The 17,263-nt window shown below is 43.3% G+C and overlaps 2 protein-coding genes across 13 annotated transcripts in view, besides 2 other annotated features; both read right to left on the reverse strand.

Moving 5' to 3' along the window:
- The window catches only part of LYPLA1-TCEA1 (LYPLA1-TCEA1 readthrough), a 135,392-nt gene that overhangs the window by 108,587 nt on the left and 9,542 nt on the right, over positions 1-17,263 (reverse strand). The gene's annotated exons all lie outside the window — the stretch shown is intronic.
- Positions 1-17,263, reverse strand: part of LYPLA1 (lysophospholipase 1) — a 58,961-nt gene that overhangs the window by 32,156 nt on the left and 9,542 nt on the right. The window lies entirely within an intron of this gene.
- Positions 9,467-10,414: an enhancer, noted in NCBI's record as "H3K27ac hESC enhancer chr8:54997169-54998116 (GRCh37/hg19 assembly coordinates)". NCBI's record gives its function as "activates a minimal SCP1, AML or CMV promoter by ChIP-STARR-seq in naive and primed H9 embryonic stem cells {active_cell/tissue: H9 hESC(naive and primed)}" and the evidence as "EXISTENCE:reporter gene assay evidence [ECO:0000049][PMID:30033119]".
- Positions 15,015-15,214: an enhancer, noted in NCBI's record as "active region_27371". NCBI's record gives its function as "activates an Ori minimal core promoter by ATAC-STARR-seq in GM12878 lymphoblastoid cells {active_cell/tissue: GM12878}" and the evidence as "EXISTENCE:reporter gene assay evidence [ECO:0000049][PMID:35858748]".

The following is a 17,263-nucleotide window of genomic DNA, read 5'->3' on the forward strand; positions in this document are numbered from 1 at the left end:
CTAGCATTATTAACTTTAAATTTTTTGAGCCTGCCCAAAGGCCAGATGTTATCAGCAGCTGAACAGCATCTACAGAAACCAGCTGCAAAGACAGAAGCAGAACAACTGATTTGGTGGAGAGATCCGATTACAAAAAGTTAGTAAATAGGTAAAATAATAATTTGGGGTAGAGGTTATGCTTGTGTTTCTCCAGGCAAAAATCAACAGCCGATTTGGATACCATCAAGACACCTGAAACCTTATCAGATGAGCCAGATGCCGAGTAAGAGACCCGGGAGCATCCCGAGGGCCCCCTGATTGCAGCCATGTCGAGACGGACGCTGAGGAGGATCCCAACTGTCATGAGCAACACCCGAACAGAGCCACCCACCTGGGGACAGATCAAGAAGCTGTCACAGACGGCAGAAGAAAACCTGAGGAAAGCGGGACAACCAGTCACAATGAATAATTTAAAGGTAGCTATGATAGTGGTTATCACCACTGCCTTGAGTATTCCTTCAATAAGGGCTGACACAGAGAACAATTATACTTATTAGGCATATTCATCAATCTTGGCTGGCAATAATGCCTAGATGTAATCACTCTGACACAGTTACATATGCTTTCTGATCTCAGTATTTACCATAATAAATCTGCTCCTATTATTGAGGCATACTACCCTCAAAAACCTATTTCTAAGAAGGACTGGACCTGGCCAGAAATAATGAACATATTTGTTTAGGAAGATTGCACTGCAGAACAGGCAGAGGTGCGGCACAATGATTCCTATGGAATCATTATTGATTGGTCCCCTAAGGGGATGTTTAGCTTGAACTGCACCTCTCAGTCTGTGTGCCACGGTCACACTATGTTCAGGTGATCTGAACAAAACGGTCAGATGGTAGAAATGATAAGAAGTATGGCAAGAGCTCCTATTATCTGGAACCACAGCAGTATAGTGGCACCTCAACCTCAAATGATATGGCCTGCTCTAGGAGCTTAACATAAGGATTTGTGGAAACTATTAAATGCTCTTAATAAGATCAAAATTTGGGAAAGAATAAAAAAGCATCTAGAAGGACACCCTACAAACTTGTCTTTGGATATTGCAAAATTAAAAGAACAAATATTTAAAGCATCCCAGGCACACCTGACCTTAATGCCAGGAACTGGAGTGCTTAAAGGAGCTGCAGACAAATTAGCAGCTAGTAACCCATTAAAATGGATAAAAACACTTGGAAGCTCTGTGATTTCAATGATGATTGTGCTTTTAATCTATGTTATTTGTCTTTGTATAGTCTGCAGATGCGGATCCTGACTCCTGCGAGAAGTAGCTCACCATGACAAAGCTGCCTTTGCTTTTATATCTCTTTGCAAATCAAAGAAGGGAGACATGTTGGGAGCAAGCCCCCCCGAAATCTGGCTATAAACTGGCCCCAAAACTGGCTATAAACAAAATCTCTGCAGCACTATAACATGTTCATAATGGCCCTAATGCTCACGCTGGAAGGTTGTGGGTTTACCGGAATGAGGGCAAGGAACACCTGGCCCCGCTTAAAGGCATTCTTAAGCCACAAACAACAGCATGAGCGATCTGTGCCTTAAAGACATGCTCCTGCTGCAGTTAACTAGCCCAACCAATTCCTTTAATTTGGCCCATCCCTTCATTTCCCATAAGGGACACTTTTAATTAATTTAATACCTATAGAAACAATGCTAATGACTGGCTTGCTGTTAATAAACATGTGGGCAAATCTCTGTTCGGGGCTCTCAGCTCTGAAGGCTGTGAGACCCCTGATTTCCCACTTCACACCTCTATATTTCTGTGTGTGTGTCTTTAATTCCTCTAGCACCGCTGGGTTAGGGTCTCCCTGACAGAGCTGGTCTCGGCAGTTCTCCCATAAAGACACATGCATACTTACTTTCATTGCACTGCTATTCACAACAGCAAAGACATTAAATCACCCTAGATACCCATCAGCGGCAAACGGGATAAAGAAAATATCGTACATATACACCATGAATTGTTATGCAGCCATTAAAAAAAGAATGAGACCATGTACTTTGCAGCAACATGGATGGAACTGGAGGCCATTATCCTAAGCAAACCATCACAGGAACCGAAAACCAAATACCACATGTTCTCACTTGTAAGTAGGAGCTAAATAACAAGAACACATGGATACTAGGAGAGGAACAACAGACACTGGGGCCTACTTGATGGTGGAGGGTGGAAGGAGGGAAAGGATCAGAAAAAAGACCTATCAGGTACTACGCTTATTACCTGGGTGACAAAATTATCTGTACATCAAACCCTCAGAACATGCAGTTTACCTTGCAGATGTACTCCTGAATCTAAATAACAAGTTACAAAGTAAAAAATAAAAAAGTAGTCTGGGCACGGTGGCTCACGCCTGTAATCCCAGCACTTTGGGAGGCTGAGGCAGACGGATCACTTGAGGTCAGGAGATACAGACCAGCCTGGCCAACATGGCGAAACCCCGTCTCTACTAAAAATAAATAAATAAATAAATAAAAAGTTTATTCTTCTGAAAATAAAAGGAATAGATTTATGAGATAGTAAAGTGTATGTTCCAACTTTTAAAAAGAGCTGGACACAGAAGATATACATATAATACCATTTATCTGACGGTCTAGAACGGGCAAAAGTATGGTATAGCAATAGAAGTCAGAATAATGGTCGCCTCTGGGATGGGAGGGTACTAACTCCAGGAGAATGAAAAATACTCCTGGGGAGCTGGAAATGTTCTCTATCTTCATCATGTTGATGGTTTCATGGGTGTAAGTAAAAATTTATCCAGCTAAACATTTATTTTTTATTCTTTTGAGACAGAGTCTTACTCTGTCACCCAGGCTGGAGTGCAGTGACACAATCTCAGCTCACTGCAACCTTTACCTTCTAGGTTCAAGCAATTCTCGTGCCTTAGCCTCCTGAGTAGCTGGGATTTCAGGCGTGCACCACCACGCCCTGCTAATTTTTTGTATTTTTAGTAGAGACGGGGTTTTGCTGTGTTGGCCAGGCTGGTCTCCAACTCCTGACCTCAAGTGATCTGCCCTCCTCAGCCTCCCAAAGTGCCAGGATTACAAGCGTGAGCCACCGCACCCAGCCTGGCTGAACATTTAAGATCTGAATACTTGACTATATCATAATCCAATACAATTTTCAAAATAATTTTCAAAAATAGCAAATCCAACTCAAAAAAGTTCTTACACCAAACCAATCTGAGTTTAGAACTGCATAATAGTTGCAAAGCAAAGCAACTGATAAATTCTCTACCCACCAGACTCAACTACTAAAGTATACATGGTCCCCAATTTACAACGGTTAGACTCAAGATTTTCCAACTTTACAATGGCACAAAAGCAAAACACATCCGTACGCTGCTCAACTTTTCAGCTCTGCCAGATGTAACCCCATTGTAAGTCAAGGCGCATCTATATTCAGCTAAAGGTCACCAGATTTGGCTGAGTGTGGCCTTTTCTGGGCTACCTGCTGCTTACTGCTGATCTAGACTTGTGACTTTGGGATAAGCAGGAAGAGAGAGATGAAGTTGAGGGAAATGAGCTGTTTGCCCTGAGGTAAGTCTGAAAACATTTGGGAAATCATTTTGAGACAAGATTATAGATTCTGTAGATAGAAACACCTTCTACCATCTGCTAAGACAAATGTAAGTTATGAGCTATATCAATTGATTCAAGTACATATTACAGGTCTATGCAAGTCTATGTTCAACAACCCCCCCCCTTTTTTTTTGCTTTTTATGTTTAACACTTTATTACAAGCTATTCACTTGAATTTGATACACTATTTCAATGTACGTATTTTCAGTGTTAACAGCCACTAAGTTTTCTTCTTTTTTTGTGAGACAGTTTTGCTCTGTCGTCCAGGCTGGAGTGCAGGGATGGCTCACTGCAACCTCCGACTCCTGAGTCCAAGCAATTCTCGTGCCTTAGCCTCCTGAGTAGTTGGGATACAGGTGCCCACCACCAAGGCTGGCTAATTTTTCTTGTATTTTCAACAGAGATGGGGATTCACCATGTTGGCGAGGCTGGTCTTGAACTCCTGACCTCAAGTGATCCACCTACATCAGCCTCCAAAAGTGCTGGGATTACAGACCTAAGCCATCACGCCCGTCCAGTTTTCTGTCTGATAATTTCAGTAGAATTAGGAATAAACTTAACGTGCATAGTTAGCTTTGCAAATAGATTTTAATGTGTATAATAAGCAATATTTTGCAGCAATAATAAATACCTGGCATATGGGCTACCATTCCTAGATCGTGGGCCCAGAGTAGACATTACCAAGCAATTAAGGCACTCTTTGTCACAGAGCCTTGACCAGCAAAGGTATCCAAGCAGCATATAAGATAAAAAACTAGACTGGGTGCAGTGGCTCAAGCCTTTGACCCCAGCAGTTTGGGAGGCTGAGTTGGGCGGATCATTTGAGTCCAGGAGATTGAGACCAGCCTGGGCAATGTGGCGAATCCCCCATATCTACTGAGAATACAAAATTAGCTGGGAGCGCTCCTGCAGTCTCAGTTACTCAGGAGACTGAGGTGGGAGGATCAATTGAGCCTGGGAGGCGGAGGGTGCGGTAAACGGAGATCACACCACTGCACTCCAGCCTGGGCAACAGACTGAGACCTCGTTTCCCCCTGAAATAAATAAATAAATAAATAAATAAAATTTAAACCTGTCTGTTATCTCTGCAAAAGATAACAGTATAACCACATTATAAAATGTTTTCCATGGTTATTGCCAATGCTGATTTTCTGTAAGCTTTTTCTATTTCTATTTCAATTTCTAAGTATATCGTTACTATATTTTCTATTTCAGGATTTGTGCTGATGACCTCAGGGATAACTAAATAAGTTTTAAACATTACAGTATTATTTCAGCTAATTATAGTTTTGGGACTACACAGCCACTTAAAAAAAATCACACTTATAAAATAATCTTCAGGCTGGGCGTGGTGGCTCACACCTGTAATCCCACCACTTTGGGAGGCTGAGGTGGGTGGATCACTTGACCTTAGGAGTTCAAGACCAGCCTGGGCAACAATGGCAAAACCCTGTCTCTACAAAAAGTAGCCAAGTGTGGTGGCACGTACCTGTAGTCCAAGCTACTCGGGAGACTGAGGTGGGAGTTGTACTGAGCCACGAGCGTACTATGCCACTGCACTCCAGCCTGGGCAACAAAGCAAGACTCTGTCTCAAAAAATAGTAATAACAATCTTCCACCTATTTATTAGAGTCCAAAATAAAATAAAGCTTCAATTATGTTCCTCAAAACATTACTACATATAATAAAAGCTTGACCTATATCATGGCTGGCCAAGGCAGATGACAGCCGTATTCCTTTATGTTTACACTTACGAAGTATATTGAGAAATATGTAAATTGATGGTGACTATAGAAACAGAATAAAAAATGTAAATATATTTATTTATTTATTACGTTTCTTGAGATGGAGCCTCTCTCTGTTGCCCAGGCTGGAGTGCAGTGGGGTGATCTCGGTTCACTGCAACCTCCGCCTCCTGAGTAAAAGTGATTCTCCTGCCTCAGCCTCTCGAGTAGCTGGGACTACAGGCCTGTGCCACCATACCCAACTAATTTTTTTATTTTTAGTAGAGACAAGGTTTCACCATGTTGGCCAGACTGGTCTCAAACTCCTGACCTCAAGTGATCCGCCTGCCTTGGCCTCCCAAAGTGTTGGGATTACAGGCGTAAGCCACTGTGCCTGGCCAAAAATTTAAATTTAACATGAATTTTAGAATTGTTATTAATACAATAAAACATTGGCTATTTTCTCCATACCAAAGAACTCTATACCACTGGCTTTTTGAGTACTTACAATCTTTTGTATGTATTAGACATTTGCCAAAGAATAAAAATGCTGGAGTTCACACAGAAAAGTACAACAGCTTTAAGGTATGGACTTTATAGTTCAAAGGCCTTTTGCTGTACTCACTAGTTTCTACCCCTGTCTGGAGTAACAGGCTGTTGAAGAGTTGCCTCTCAATTATTCACCCCAAATATACAGACAATGCAACAATATTTCACAGTAAATTTTGACTATTTGTGGCTCTGCCCCTATTTGTGCTCAAAATTGTAATTCAATAATTATTAATATTATTTATTTATATTTTGTGCTACTTCTCTTAACTGTGTTTATGTCTTAACCACATAGACCCTTGTTTTCCCTACTATATACACAGTTTTTGGCCAGCAGCTCTCGTCCAATGAAAGAGCTCAAGAAAATGTCTTTTTTAAATAACAGAAGACATGTTGAAGAAAAAAAAAACAACTGGAAGATTATTTTATTCTGAAACACAGTCTTGCTCGGTCACCCAGGATGGAGTGCAGCCTGTAATCTCTTCACTGCAACCTTCGCATCCCGGGTTTAAGCGATTCTCCTACCTCAGCCTCCCGAGTAGCTGGGATTACAAGCGCGCCACCATGACAGGGTTTCACCATGCTGGTCAGGCTGGTCTCAAACTCCTGACCTCGTGATCTGCCCACCTTGGCCTCCCAAAGTGCTGGGATTACAGGCGTGCACCACTGCGCCCAGCCTTTCTTTTCGTTTTTTTTTTTTTTGAGACAGAGTTCTGCTCTTCTGCTCTTGTTGCCCAGGCTGGAGTGCAATGGTGCGATCTTGGCTCACTGCAATCTCCGCCTCCCAGGTTCAAGTGATTCTCCTGCCTCAGCCTCCCAAGTAGCTGCGATTACAGGCATGTGCCACCACACCTGGCTAATTTTTGTATTTTTAGTAGAGATGGGGTTTCGCCATGTTGGCCAGGCTGGTCCTGAACTCCTGACCTCAGGTGATCCGCCCGCCTCCACCTCCCAAAGTGCTGAGATTACAGGCATGAGCCACCGCATCTGAGGAGAGAAATTTAAAAAACAAACATTCTACATGCATGAAAGATAAAGATTGAGATACAGACTGTATCCTCAACGAAACTGCAGTCCCGTAGGAGAAACAAGATATAAACATACCACCACACAGATCAAAAGTTAAGCCCTACAAACAAGTTACAAAGAATGTCAAAATGTGGAAGAGAAGGAAAAGATTAGTTTCAGCTATGAAAATCAAAAAGAATTTATACAGCAGGAGCAGTAAGACAGAGGACAGGTTTTCCCCACAACGCACACGCACATACATACGCACCATAGTATGTTTTATTCCTTATTACAATTAGGGGAGAAAAGACAAAAGTAGAAAATGAAAAGCATTTGGACTGGTGCGATCAAGAACTAATCCTTTTTTTAAAAAAAGAAACAATCATTAACAGCTTAGCTCCTATTTGTTATGAGACTATATTGTATCTACAGTTTTAGAATGTACTTTTTTTTTGGTAGAGACAGGATCTCACTATGTTGCCCAGGCTGGTATCAAACTCCTGGCCTCAAGTGATCCTCCTGCCTTGGCTTTCCAAAGTGTTTGAATTAAAGGTGTGAGCCATTGCACCTGCCCAGGATACACTTTTTCCACTTAAATTGCTGGAATTCTAACTTATCAAATATTCTTCTTTGTAAACATTTTGGCATTTCAATTTTTTTCACACAGATTTCTCATGGTACAGTCTTTCTTTCTTTTTCTGAGACGGAGTCTCGCTCTCTTGCCCAGGCTAGAGTGCAGTGGCGCGATCTCGGCTCACTGCAAGCCCCGCCTCCCAGGTTCACGCCATTCTCCCGCCTCAGCCTCCCAAGTAGCTGGGACTACAGGTACCCGCCACTACGCCTGGCTAATTTTTTGTATTTTTAGTAGAGACGGGGTTTCCCCATGTTAGCCAGGATGGTCTCGATCTCCTGACCTCGTGATCCGCCCGCCTCGGCTTCCCAAAGTGCTGGGATCACAGACATGAGCCACCGCACCCGGTCTCATTGTACAGTCTTATAAAATGAATGTTCGCAGACATCATTTTTTCCTTAGAAAAAATTCTTTAAAACATTAATGTCACAAAAATCTTTTAAAAAATTAGGCCTTTGCACATATACTGTTAAATTAGTCTAGAAGAATACTTAAAAATCAGAGACAGAAATTGAAGACACCTCAGATAAAGTAGGTTAAGACCACATGGTGAAGAAATGACTGCTGTGCTCTATATTTGAATGTTAACAGGTAGCCCATAAGAACCCACAGAAAAATCAAATGATGAATATTATCATCTTAGGAATATTACTCTAAGCAAATACAGCTCTAACTCTCATGCAAGCTAAAAATAACAATGAAAAGCTCAATTTTTCATAGTATGAATATACAAACAGTTCCCAACTTATAATGGCTAAATTTATGATTTTTTGATTTTATGATGAATTTATCATGATGTAAAACATCTGTATATCAAGAAATATTAAACAACAGGGGTCAATAATTGTTTTCTGCAAAGGACCAAAAGAGTCAACATTTTAGGCTTTACCAGCCAGAAGGTCTCTGTTGCAACTACTCAACTCAGCCACTCTAGGATGAAAATTAACTATAGACAACATGTAAACAAAAGGATGTGGTTCTGTTCCAACAAAACCTTATTTATGTACAATAAAATCTGAGTTTCATATACTTTTCATGTGTCACTAAGTCTTAAGTTTTTTCCTAACCATTTAGAAAAAGTAAAAACACGCAGCAGCGAAAATGCATAGGATGCAGCAAAGGCAATGCTCAAATGGAAATGTATAGCTGTAGACATCTGTGTTTAAAAATAAAGATCTCAGGCCGGGCACGGTGGCTCACGCCTGTAATCCCAGCACTTTGGGATGCTGAGGTGGGCAGATCACCTGAGGTCAGGAGTTCAAGACTAGCCTGGCCAATGTGGTGAAACCCTGTTTCTACTAAAAATACAAAAACTAGCCCGGTGTGGCAGTGAATGCCTGTAATCCCAGCTACTTGGGAGGCTGAGGCAGAGGAATCACTTGAACCTCGGAAGCAGAGGTTGCAGTGAGTTGAGATCACGCCACTGCACTCCAGCCTGGGAGACCAAAGAAAAAAAAAATAAATAAATATATATATATATATATATATAAAATAAAGACCTCAAATTAACAACCTAATCTTTTACCTGAAAAAAAACCAAAACCAAAAAACTTTATCCACAGTAAACAGAAAGAAGAAAATAATAAAAACTAGAGTGGAAATAAATGCAACAGAGGCCGGCGCGGTGGCTCACGCCTGTATTCCCAGCACTTTGGGAAGCTGAGGCGGGTGGATCGCTTGATGTCAGGAGTTAGAGACCAGCCTGGCTAACATGGTGAAACCCCATCTCTACCCAAAATACAAAAACTAGCTGGGTGTGGTGGCACGTGCCTGTAGTCCCAGCTACTCAGGAGGCTGAGACAAGAGAATTGCTTGAACCTGGGAGGCGGAGGTAGCAGTGAGTTGAGATTGAGCCACTGCACTCCAGCCTGGGAGAAAGAACGAGAGTCCATCTCAAAAAAAAAGAGAGAGACTATCAACTAAAGCAAAAGTTGGTTCTTTGAAAAGATCAACAAAAATGGCAAACCTTTAGCTAGATCAACCAAAGAAAAAAAACAGAGAAGACTCAAATTATTACAATCAGGAAACAAAGAACAGACTACTACTAACTTGACACATAGAAAAGATTATAAGAGAACAGTATGAACAATTACATGGTAATAAATTAGATAACCTAGACTAAATAGACAAATTCCTAGAATGACACAAACTACCAAAAACGGATTCAAGAAACAAAATCTATACAGGCCTGTAACAAGGAATTGAATCAGTAATCCAAAGTCTCACAGAGAAAAGCCCAGTACCACATGGCTTCAAGGTGAAGTCTACCAATCCAATGTTTAAAGAATCCTCCTCTCCCTCTCCCTCTCCCTCCTCTCCCTCCTCTTCCTCTCCCTCTCCCTCTCCCTCTTTGCACAGTCTCCCTCTGATGCCGAGACGAGGCTGGACTGTACTGCCGCCATCTCGGCTCACTGCAACCTCCCTGCCTGATTCTCCTGCCTCAGCCTGCCGAAGGCGCGCACTGCCACGCCTGACTGGTTTTTGTATTTTTTGGTTGAGACAGGGTTTCGCCGTGTTGGCCGGGCTGGTCTCCAGCTCCTGACCGCGAGTGATCTGCCAGCCTCGGCATCCCGAGGTGCCGGGATTGCAGACGGAGTCTCGCTCACTCAGTGCTCAATGTTGCCCAGGCTGGAGTGCAGTGGCGTGATCTCGGCTCACTATAACCTCCACCTCCCAGCTGCCTGCCTTGGCCTCCCAAAGTGCCGAGATTGCAGCCTCTGCACGGCCGCCACCCCATCTAGGAAGTGAGAAGTGTCTCTGCCCCGCCGCCCATCGTCTGGGATGTGAGGAGCCCCTCTGCCCAGTCTGGGAAGTGAGGAGCACCTCTTCCCGGCCGTCATCCCGTCTAGGAAGTGAGGAGCGTCTCTGCCCGGCCGCCCATCGTCTGGGATGTGGGGAGCGCCTCTGCCCTGCCGCCCCGTCTGGGATGTGAGGAGCGCCTCTGCCTGGCCGCGACCCCGTCTGGGAACTGAGGAGTGTCTCTGCCCCGCCGTCACCCCGTCCGGGAGGTGAGGAGCATCTCTGACCAGCCGCCCTGTCTGACAAGTGAGGAGCCCCTCCGCCCGGCCAGCCGCCCCGTCAGTTAGGTGGGGGGGCAGCCCCCACCCCGGCCAGCCGCCCCGTCCGCGAGGTGGGGGGGGGGCAGCCCCCGGCCGGCCAGCCGCCCCGTCCGCGAGGTGGGGGGGGCGCCTCTGCCCAGCCGCCCCGTCTGGGAAGTGAGGAGCCCCTCTGCCCGGCCTCCACCCTGTCTGGGAGGTGTACCCAACAGCTCATTGAGAACGGGCCATGATGACGATGGCGGTTTTGTCGAATAGAAAACGGGGAAATGTGGGGAAAAGAGAGATCAGATTGTTACTGTCTGTGTAGAAAGAAGTAGACATAGGAGACTCCATTTTGTTCTGTATTAAGAAAAATTCTTCCACCTTGGGATGCTGTTAATCTATAACCTTACCCCCAACCCCGTGCTCTCTGAAACATGTGCTGTGTCCACTAAGGGTTAAATGGATTAAGGGCGGTGCAAGATGTGCTTTGTTAAACAGATGCTTGAAGGCAGCATACTCGTTAAGAGTCATCACCACTCCCTAATCTCAAGTACCCAGGGACTGTACACTGAGGAAGGCGGCAGGGCCCTCTGCCTAGGAAAACCAGAGACCTTTGTTCACATGTTTATCTGCTGACCTTCCCTCCACTATTGTCCTATGACCCTGCCAAATCCCCCTCTCCGAGAAACACCCAAGAATGATCAATAAATACTAAAAAAATTAAAAAAAAAAAAAAAAAAAAAAAAAGAATCCTTCTCCTCATCCCCCCCGCCCAAAAAAAGGAACAGTTACTCATTTAGAAGGCCATTATTACTCTGACATCAAAACCAAAGGGTACCAAAAAAAAAAAAAAAAAAAAAAAGACAGCCAGGTGTGATGGCTCACACTCGTAATCCAACACTTTAAGAGCCCAAAGTGGGGGGATTGCTTGAGCCCAGGAGTTCAAGACCAGCCTGTGCAGCATAGTAAGACCCCATCTCCACAAAAAATAAGAAAATTAGCCAGGCATGGTGGTGTGCACCTGTGGTCCCAGATACTTGGGAGTATGGTTTGAGCCTGGAAGGTTGAGGCTGCAGTGAGCTGTGTTCACTCCACTGCACTCTAGCCTGGGTGACAGAGCGAGACCCTGTCTCAAAATGAAAATCACAGACTATCCCATAGGAATATAAATACAAAATCCTAAAAACTACCAAACCAAATCTATCGACATATAATTAGGATTATACACCATGACCAGGAGAGATCTTCCCTAGAATGCAAGGATGGTTCAACATAAAAATTTAATAAATACAATACACCATTTTACCAGAGATTGTAGCCAGGGAAACTGGCAAGATAAATGGCATCCAGATAGGAAAGGAATCAGTAAAATTCCCTCTCATGATCTTGTGAGCTGAGTATCTTATGATCTTATATACAGAAAATCCTATGAAATCTACAAAAACATCCTAAGAGCTATTGAGGTCAGCAAGATCCCAGGATATAAAAAACTTATCAAAAAGGTATATTTCTATACACTAGCAATGAACAATATAAAAATGTAATAAAGTCAACAATTCCATTCGTCATAGTATACAAAGAATAAAATACTTGGAGGAATAATTTAACAAAATAAGTGAAGGACTTGAAAACTGGGCAGGGCATGGCAGGGCATGCCTGTAATCCCAGCTACCCGGGAAGCCGAGGCAGAAGAATCGCTGGAACCCAGGGGAGGCAGAGACTACACTGAGCCGAGATCACGCCACTATATTCCAGCCTGGGCTACAGGGCAATACTCTGTCTGAAACAAACAAACAAACATAAAAATCATCAGGATGAAAAACTGTTGTGCTGCAAAACATACTACCAAAAGGGTGCAAAGACACCCCACGCAATGGGAGACAATATTTACAAATAATGTATCTGATAGGAGTCTAGTGTCCAGACAATATAAACAATTCTTATAAATCAACAACAAAAAGGCAACCCAATTTTTAAAACGGCAAAGGATCTGAACAGATATTTCTCCAAAGAAAATATGCAAATGGCCAATAAGGATGTTTGAAATGCTTGTTCTCCGGTGCCGTAAAGAAACAGCACTTGAACATAAATTTAATTTATTTAGTAAGGCCATTTTTACTTTCTGCAGAAAGGGTACACTTGCCAGTAGCTGTGTCACGAGAGTACACCGAACAAAGGAGACAGAGTCATTTATAATCTGACAAGTCCACCCTACTGCTGTGTCTGGTTTCCATTGGCTGGAACGGGACCTCACATTCTGTTATTTGTCCCGACTGGCTAGCAACTTAGAACTTTTTAAAAGAGGCAAAGGTAGAGGAGAACAAAGGAAGGAGGAAGTTAACTTGTGGAATGCTGAGAAAGATAAAAACACTTTTAAATAAGGAAGAGGAACAGGCTATGACCTAATGCTTGCTTGGACCAGTATAAGCATGCCAGGGCAAATATTTAGGCTAAATTGAGGGAGCTAAGAACATAAAGTACATTGATTTCTTTATTACGGCTAGCAGATATTTAAGAATGTTAGCACCTGTCTTCGAATAAATTTTGCTTTTAAGAGAAGTTACTATTTATTCCTAATTAGATGGAGAGGAAAATCTTTAAAGAGGGACCTCTATTTTACTTTTTTCAAGGACATGAGATGATGCTCAACATTAACCATTAGGAAATGCAAATCAAAATCACAATGCGACACCACTTCACATAGAAATGGATGGCTATAATCAAAAAGACAATAACAAGTGTTAACGAGGATGGCGAGAAATCAGAGCACTCACACACTGCTGGCCATTTATCTTGGCAGAAGTGTAAAAAAGTGCAGCTACTATGAAAACTGTCCTGGAGTTCTTCAAGGGTTAAACATAGAGCTACCATTGACTTAGCAATTTGACTCCCAAGTATATACACCAGAGAACTAAAAACATATGTCCATACAAAGTCTTGTACACAAACGTGCAGAGTAGTATTACTCATTAGAGTAAAAAAGTAGAAACAATCCAAATGTTCATTAATTGATGAATGAATTATTTTTATGTGAATTTTCTTAAGAGACAGAGTCTCACTATATTGCCCAGGCTAGACTTGAACTCCTGGCCTGAAAGGATCCTCCTGACTCAGCCTCCCAAGTAGCTGAGACTACAGGTGCATGACACCATGCTCAGCTAATTATTTACTTGGCAATGAAAGAAAGCAGTACTGGTACATGTTACAAAATAGATGAGCCTGAAAAACATTATGTTATAAAATGAAAGAAGCCAGATGCAAAAGACCAAATATTATCTGATTCCATTTCTACGCAGAATAAGCAAATCCACAGAAACAGAAAAAGATAGTGGTTGCCAGGGAGGGGAATAAGTAGTCTGCAGATGAATGTTGGGTTTCTTTTGGGGATGTTGAACATATTCTGGAATTAAGACAGTGGTAATAGTTGAACAACTCTGTAAATAAACTAACTACTGAACTGTATACTTTAAAAGAGTGAAGTTTTTGGTATGTGAATTATATCTCTATAAGTACAGTAGTTCCCCATCAACCACAGTTTTGCTTTCTGTGGATTCAGTTACCACCATCAAAAAATAGGTGAGTACAGAACAAGAATATATTTTGAGAGAGAGATCACATTCACATAACTTTTATTACAGTATGTTGTTATAATTATTCTATTGCTGTTGTTCACCTCTTTGCCTAATTTATAAATTAAACTTTATCACAGGTATGCATGCATAGGAAAAAACATAGTATCATAGGGTTTGGTACTCTCTGTGATTTCAGACATCCCTGGGGGGGGGCGGGATCTTTGAACATATGTGACAATACTAACACTAATATGTATGTATTAGAATGTATATACTAACACTGTAATAATAAGTAAGTGGCAGGCCAGAATTGAACCATGGGCCCTTGTTTGCCAACCTCTTTTTTTTTTTTTTGAGATAGGGTCTCACTGTTGCGCAAGCTGGAAGTGCAGTGGCATCATCTCAGCTCACTGCAGCCTCGACCTCCCAGGCTCAGGCGATCCTCCCACCTCAGCCTCCTAAGTAGCTGGGATTACAGGCACACTCTACCATGGCTGGCCAATTTTTTGTATTCTTTGTAGAAGGTGGATGATACGGTTTGGCTGTGTCCCTGCCAAAATCTTACCTTGAATTGTAATAATCCCCATGTGTAGGGAGACCCCCTGAAACTATTGCTACGGAATAAAAGATGAAATGCTCCTGATTATTGTAAATACAAAATTGCATGCAGGATTGTGTAAAGACAATGCCAGGTTGGACTGCCAGAACGAGCCAACAGCGTGTGATGTGCTTCCCCCTGCAAAGAGCCTATGAATGGATGTGCAATCACGGAGGATTCACATCACCAAGATTCCTATCCCAGAAAAGCAGATGTTCATAGCTCTGGGAACAGAATGCGACCCTTGTGGAGAGCCTATAAACGGACGCATTGGGGGCGCCTGTCCACATGGATAAGATAGGGCTATAAATGCCCTCATCTTGCCACGGTTCTTCTAGGCCTCTTTAGGGTTAAGACATACTCCCCTTCTGAGAATTTCTGGTCTAACCAGTTGTCTAGCTTCACATCCTGTTTCTATGGATTGTTTGTAACCAGCTTTTGCTACAACTGTTACTGCTGATTAATATCTTGCTAATCATAGGTTATGGAAAGACTGTGTTTCTGTTTTAAGGCTCTATTAGAAATTACTGATGCACACACTATATTGTAAATTCTTATCTCTGTATACTGTACTTCTACATACAAATGTACTATACTTCTACATACAAATGTTATGTTAAAGAATTATTTCATCCCCATGTGACCATCTCACCTCATAATCAAATGACCCTAAATCCCTCACTAACCTACCCCCGCCCTCACTAAACTTAGTAATAAATGCTGGTATATCCAGTGCATTGTTGGCACCGCGGGACCAGAAGACAGTGACCCCCCTGGACCCAGCTTTCACTATCTTGTGTGTGTCTATTATTTCTCAACCTGCCGATCCGCCTGGGAACAAAGAGAGAGCCCCATTGCATTGCGGGCTGCTGGCCAGATCCCACAATACCCATGTGTCAAGGGTGGGACCAGGTAGAGATAATTGAATCACAGGGGTGGTTTCCCCCATGCTGTTCTTATGACAGTGAGTTCTCATTTGATCTGACAGTTTTATAAGGGGCCTCCCCCTTCGCTCAGCTCTCATTTCTCTCTCCTGCCACCCTGTGAAGAGGTGCCTTCCACCTTTCCTGAGGCCTCCCCAGCCATGCAGAACTGTGAGTGAATTAAACCTCTTTTCTTTATAAATTACCCAGTTTCGGTAATTATTTATAGCAGCAAGAGAACTAATACACAGGGTTTTGCCATGTTGCCCAGACTGATCTCAAACTCCTAGGCTCAAGCCATCCTCCCACCTCAGCTTCCCGAAGTGATAGGATTACAGGTGTGAGCCACCATGCCTGGCTCCAACCTCCATTCTACATAAGAAATACTAAGAACCAGGCAGGGCATGGTGGCTCATGCCTGTAATCCCAGCACTTTGGGAGGCCGAGGTGGGCGGATCACCTGAGGTCAGGAGTTCAAGACCAACCTGGCCAACACGGTGAAACCCTGTTTCTACTAAAAATACAAAAATTAGCCGGGCACAGTGGCGGGCACCTGTAATCCCAGCTACTCAGAAGACTGAGGCAGAGAATCGCTTGAACCCAGGAGGCAGAGGTTGCAGTGAGCCGAGATCACGCCACTGCACTCTAGCCTGGGCAACAAGAGCAAAACTGTCTCAAAAAAAGAAAAGAAAAGAAAAGGAAAGGAAAGAAAAAGAAAAGAAAAAAGAAAAGAAAAGAAAAGAAGAAAGGAAGGAAGGAAAGAAAGAAAGAAAAGGAAGGAAGGAAGGAAGGAAGGAAGGAAGGAAGGAAGGAAGGAGAAATACTAAGAACCCTTATATGAGAAAAAGAAATAGGAATCTTGGGTTCTAGTCCCCACTCAGCCACTATCTAAAAGTGTGGTCACAGACAGTTCCGTCAGTCTGGTGGTTCTCAGAAGTGTGATCCCCAGACCTGTACTATCAGTATCCAATGAGAACTTGTTAGAAATGCAAATTCTGGCCAGGCACACTGGCTCATGCCTGTAATCCCAGCACTTTGGGAGGCCCAGATGGGAAGACAGTTTGAGCCCAGGAGTTAGACTAACCTGGGCAACATACTGAGACCCTCATCTCTACAAAAACTTTAAAAAATAGCCAGGCATGGTGGCATGCAGCTGTACTTCCAGTCACTTGGGAGGCTGAACCCAGGAGGTCAAGGCTGCAGTGAGCTGTGTTCACGCCACTGCACTCCAGCCTGGGCAACAGAGTGAGAGACCCTGTCGAAGCAAGGAGGAGGAGGAGGAAAAGGAGAAGGAAGAGGGGGAGGGGGAGGCAGCGGCGGCAGAGGAGATGGAAGAGGCAGAGGCGGCGGCGGAGGAGAACCCTGTCGAAGTCAGGGGGAGGAGGAGGAGGAGAAAGACGGAAGAGAAGGAGGAGGAGGAGGAGAAGGAGAAAGAAGGAAGAGAAGGAGAAGGAGGAGAAGGAGAAAGAAGGAAGAGAAGGAGGGGGAAGAGAAGGTGGAGGAGGAGGAGAAGGAGGAGACAGAGAGAGAAGGAGGAAGAGGAGGAGAAGGAGAAGGAAGAGGAGGAAGAAAGAAGAAAGAAGAAGAGGAGGCATG

The sequence above is a fragment of the Homo sapiens genome, chromosome 8 (assembly GCF_000001405.40).
Source record: "Homo sapiens chromosome 8, GRCh38.p14 Primary Assembly".
Classification (NCBI taxonomy): Eukaryota; Metazoa; Chordata; class Mammalia; order Primates; family Hominidae; genus Homo; species Homo sapiens.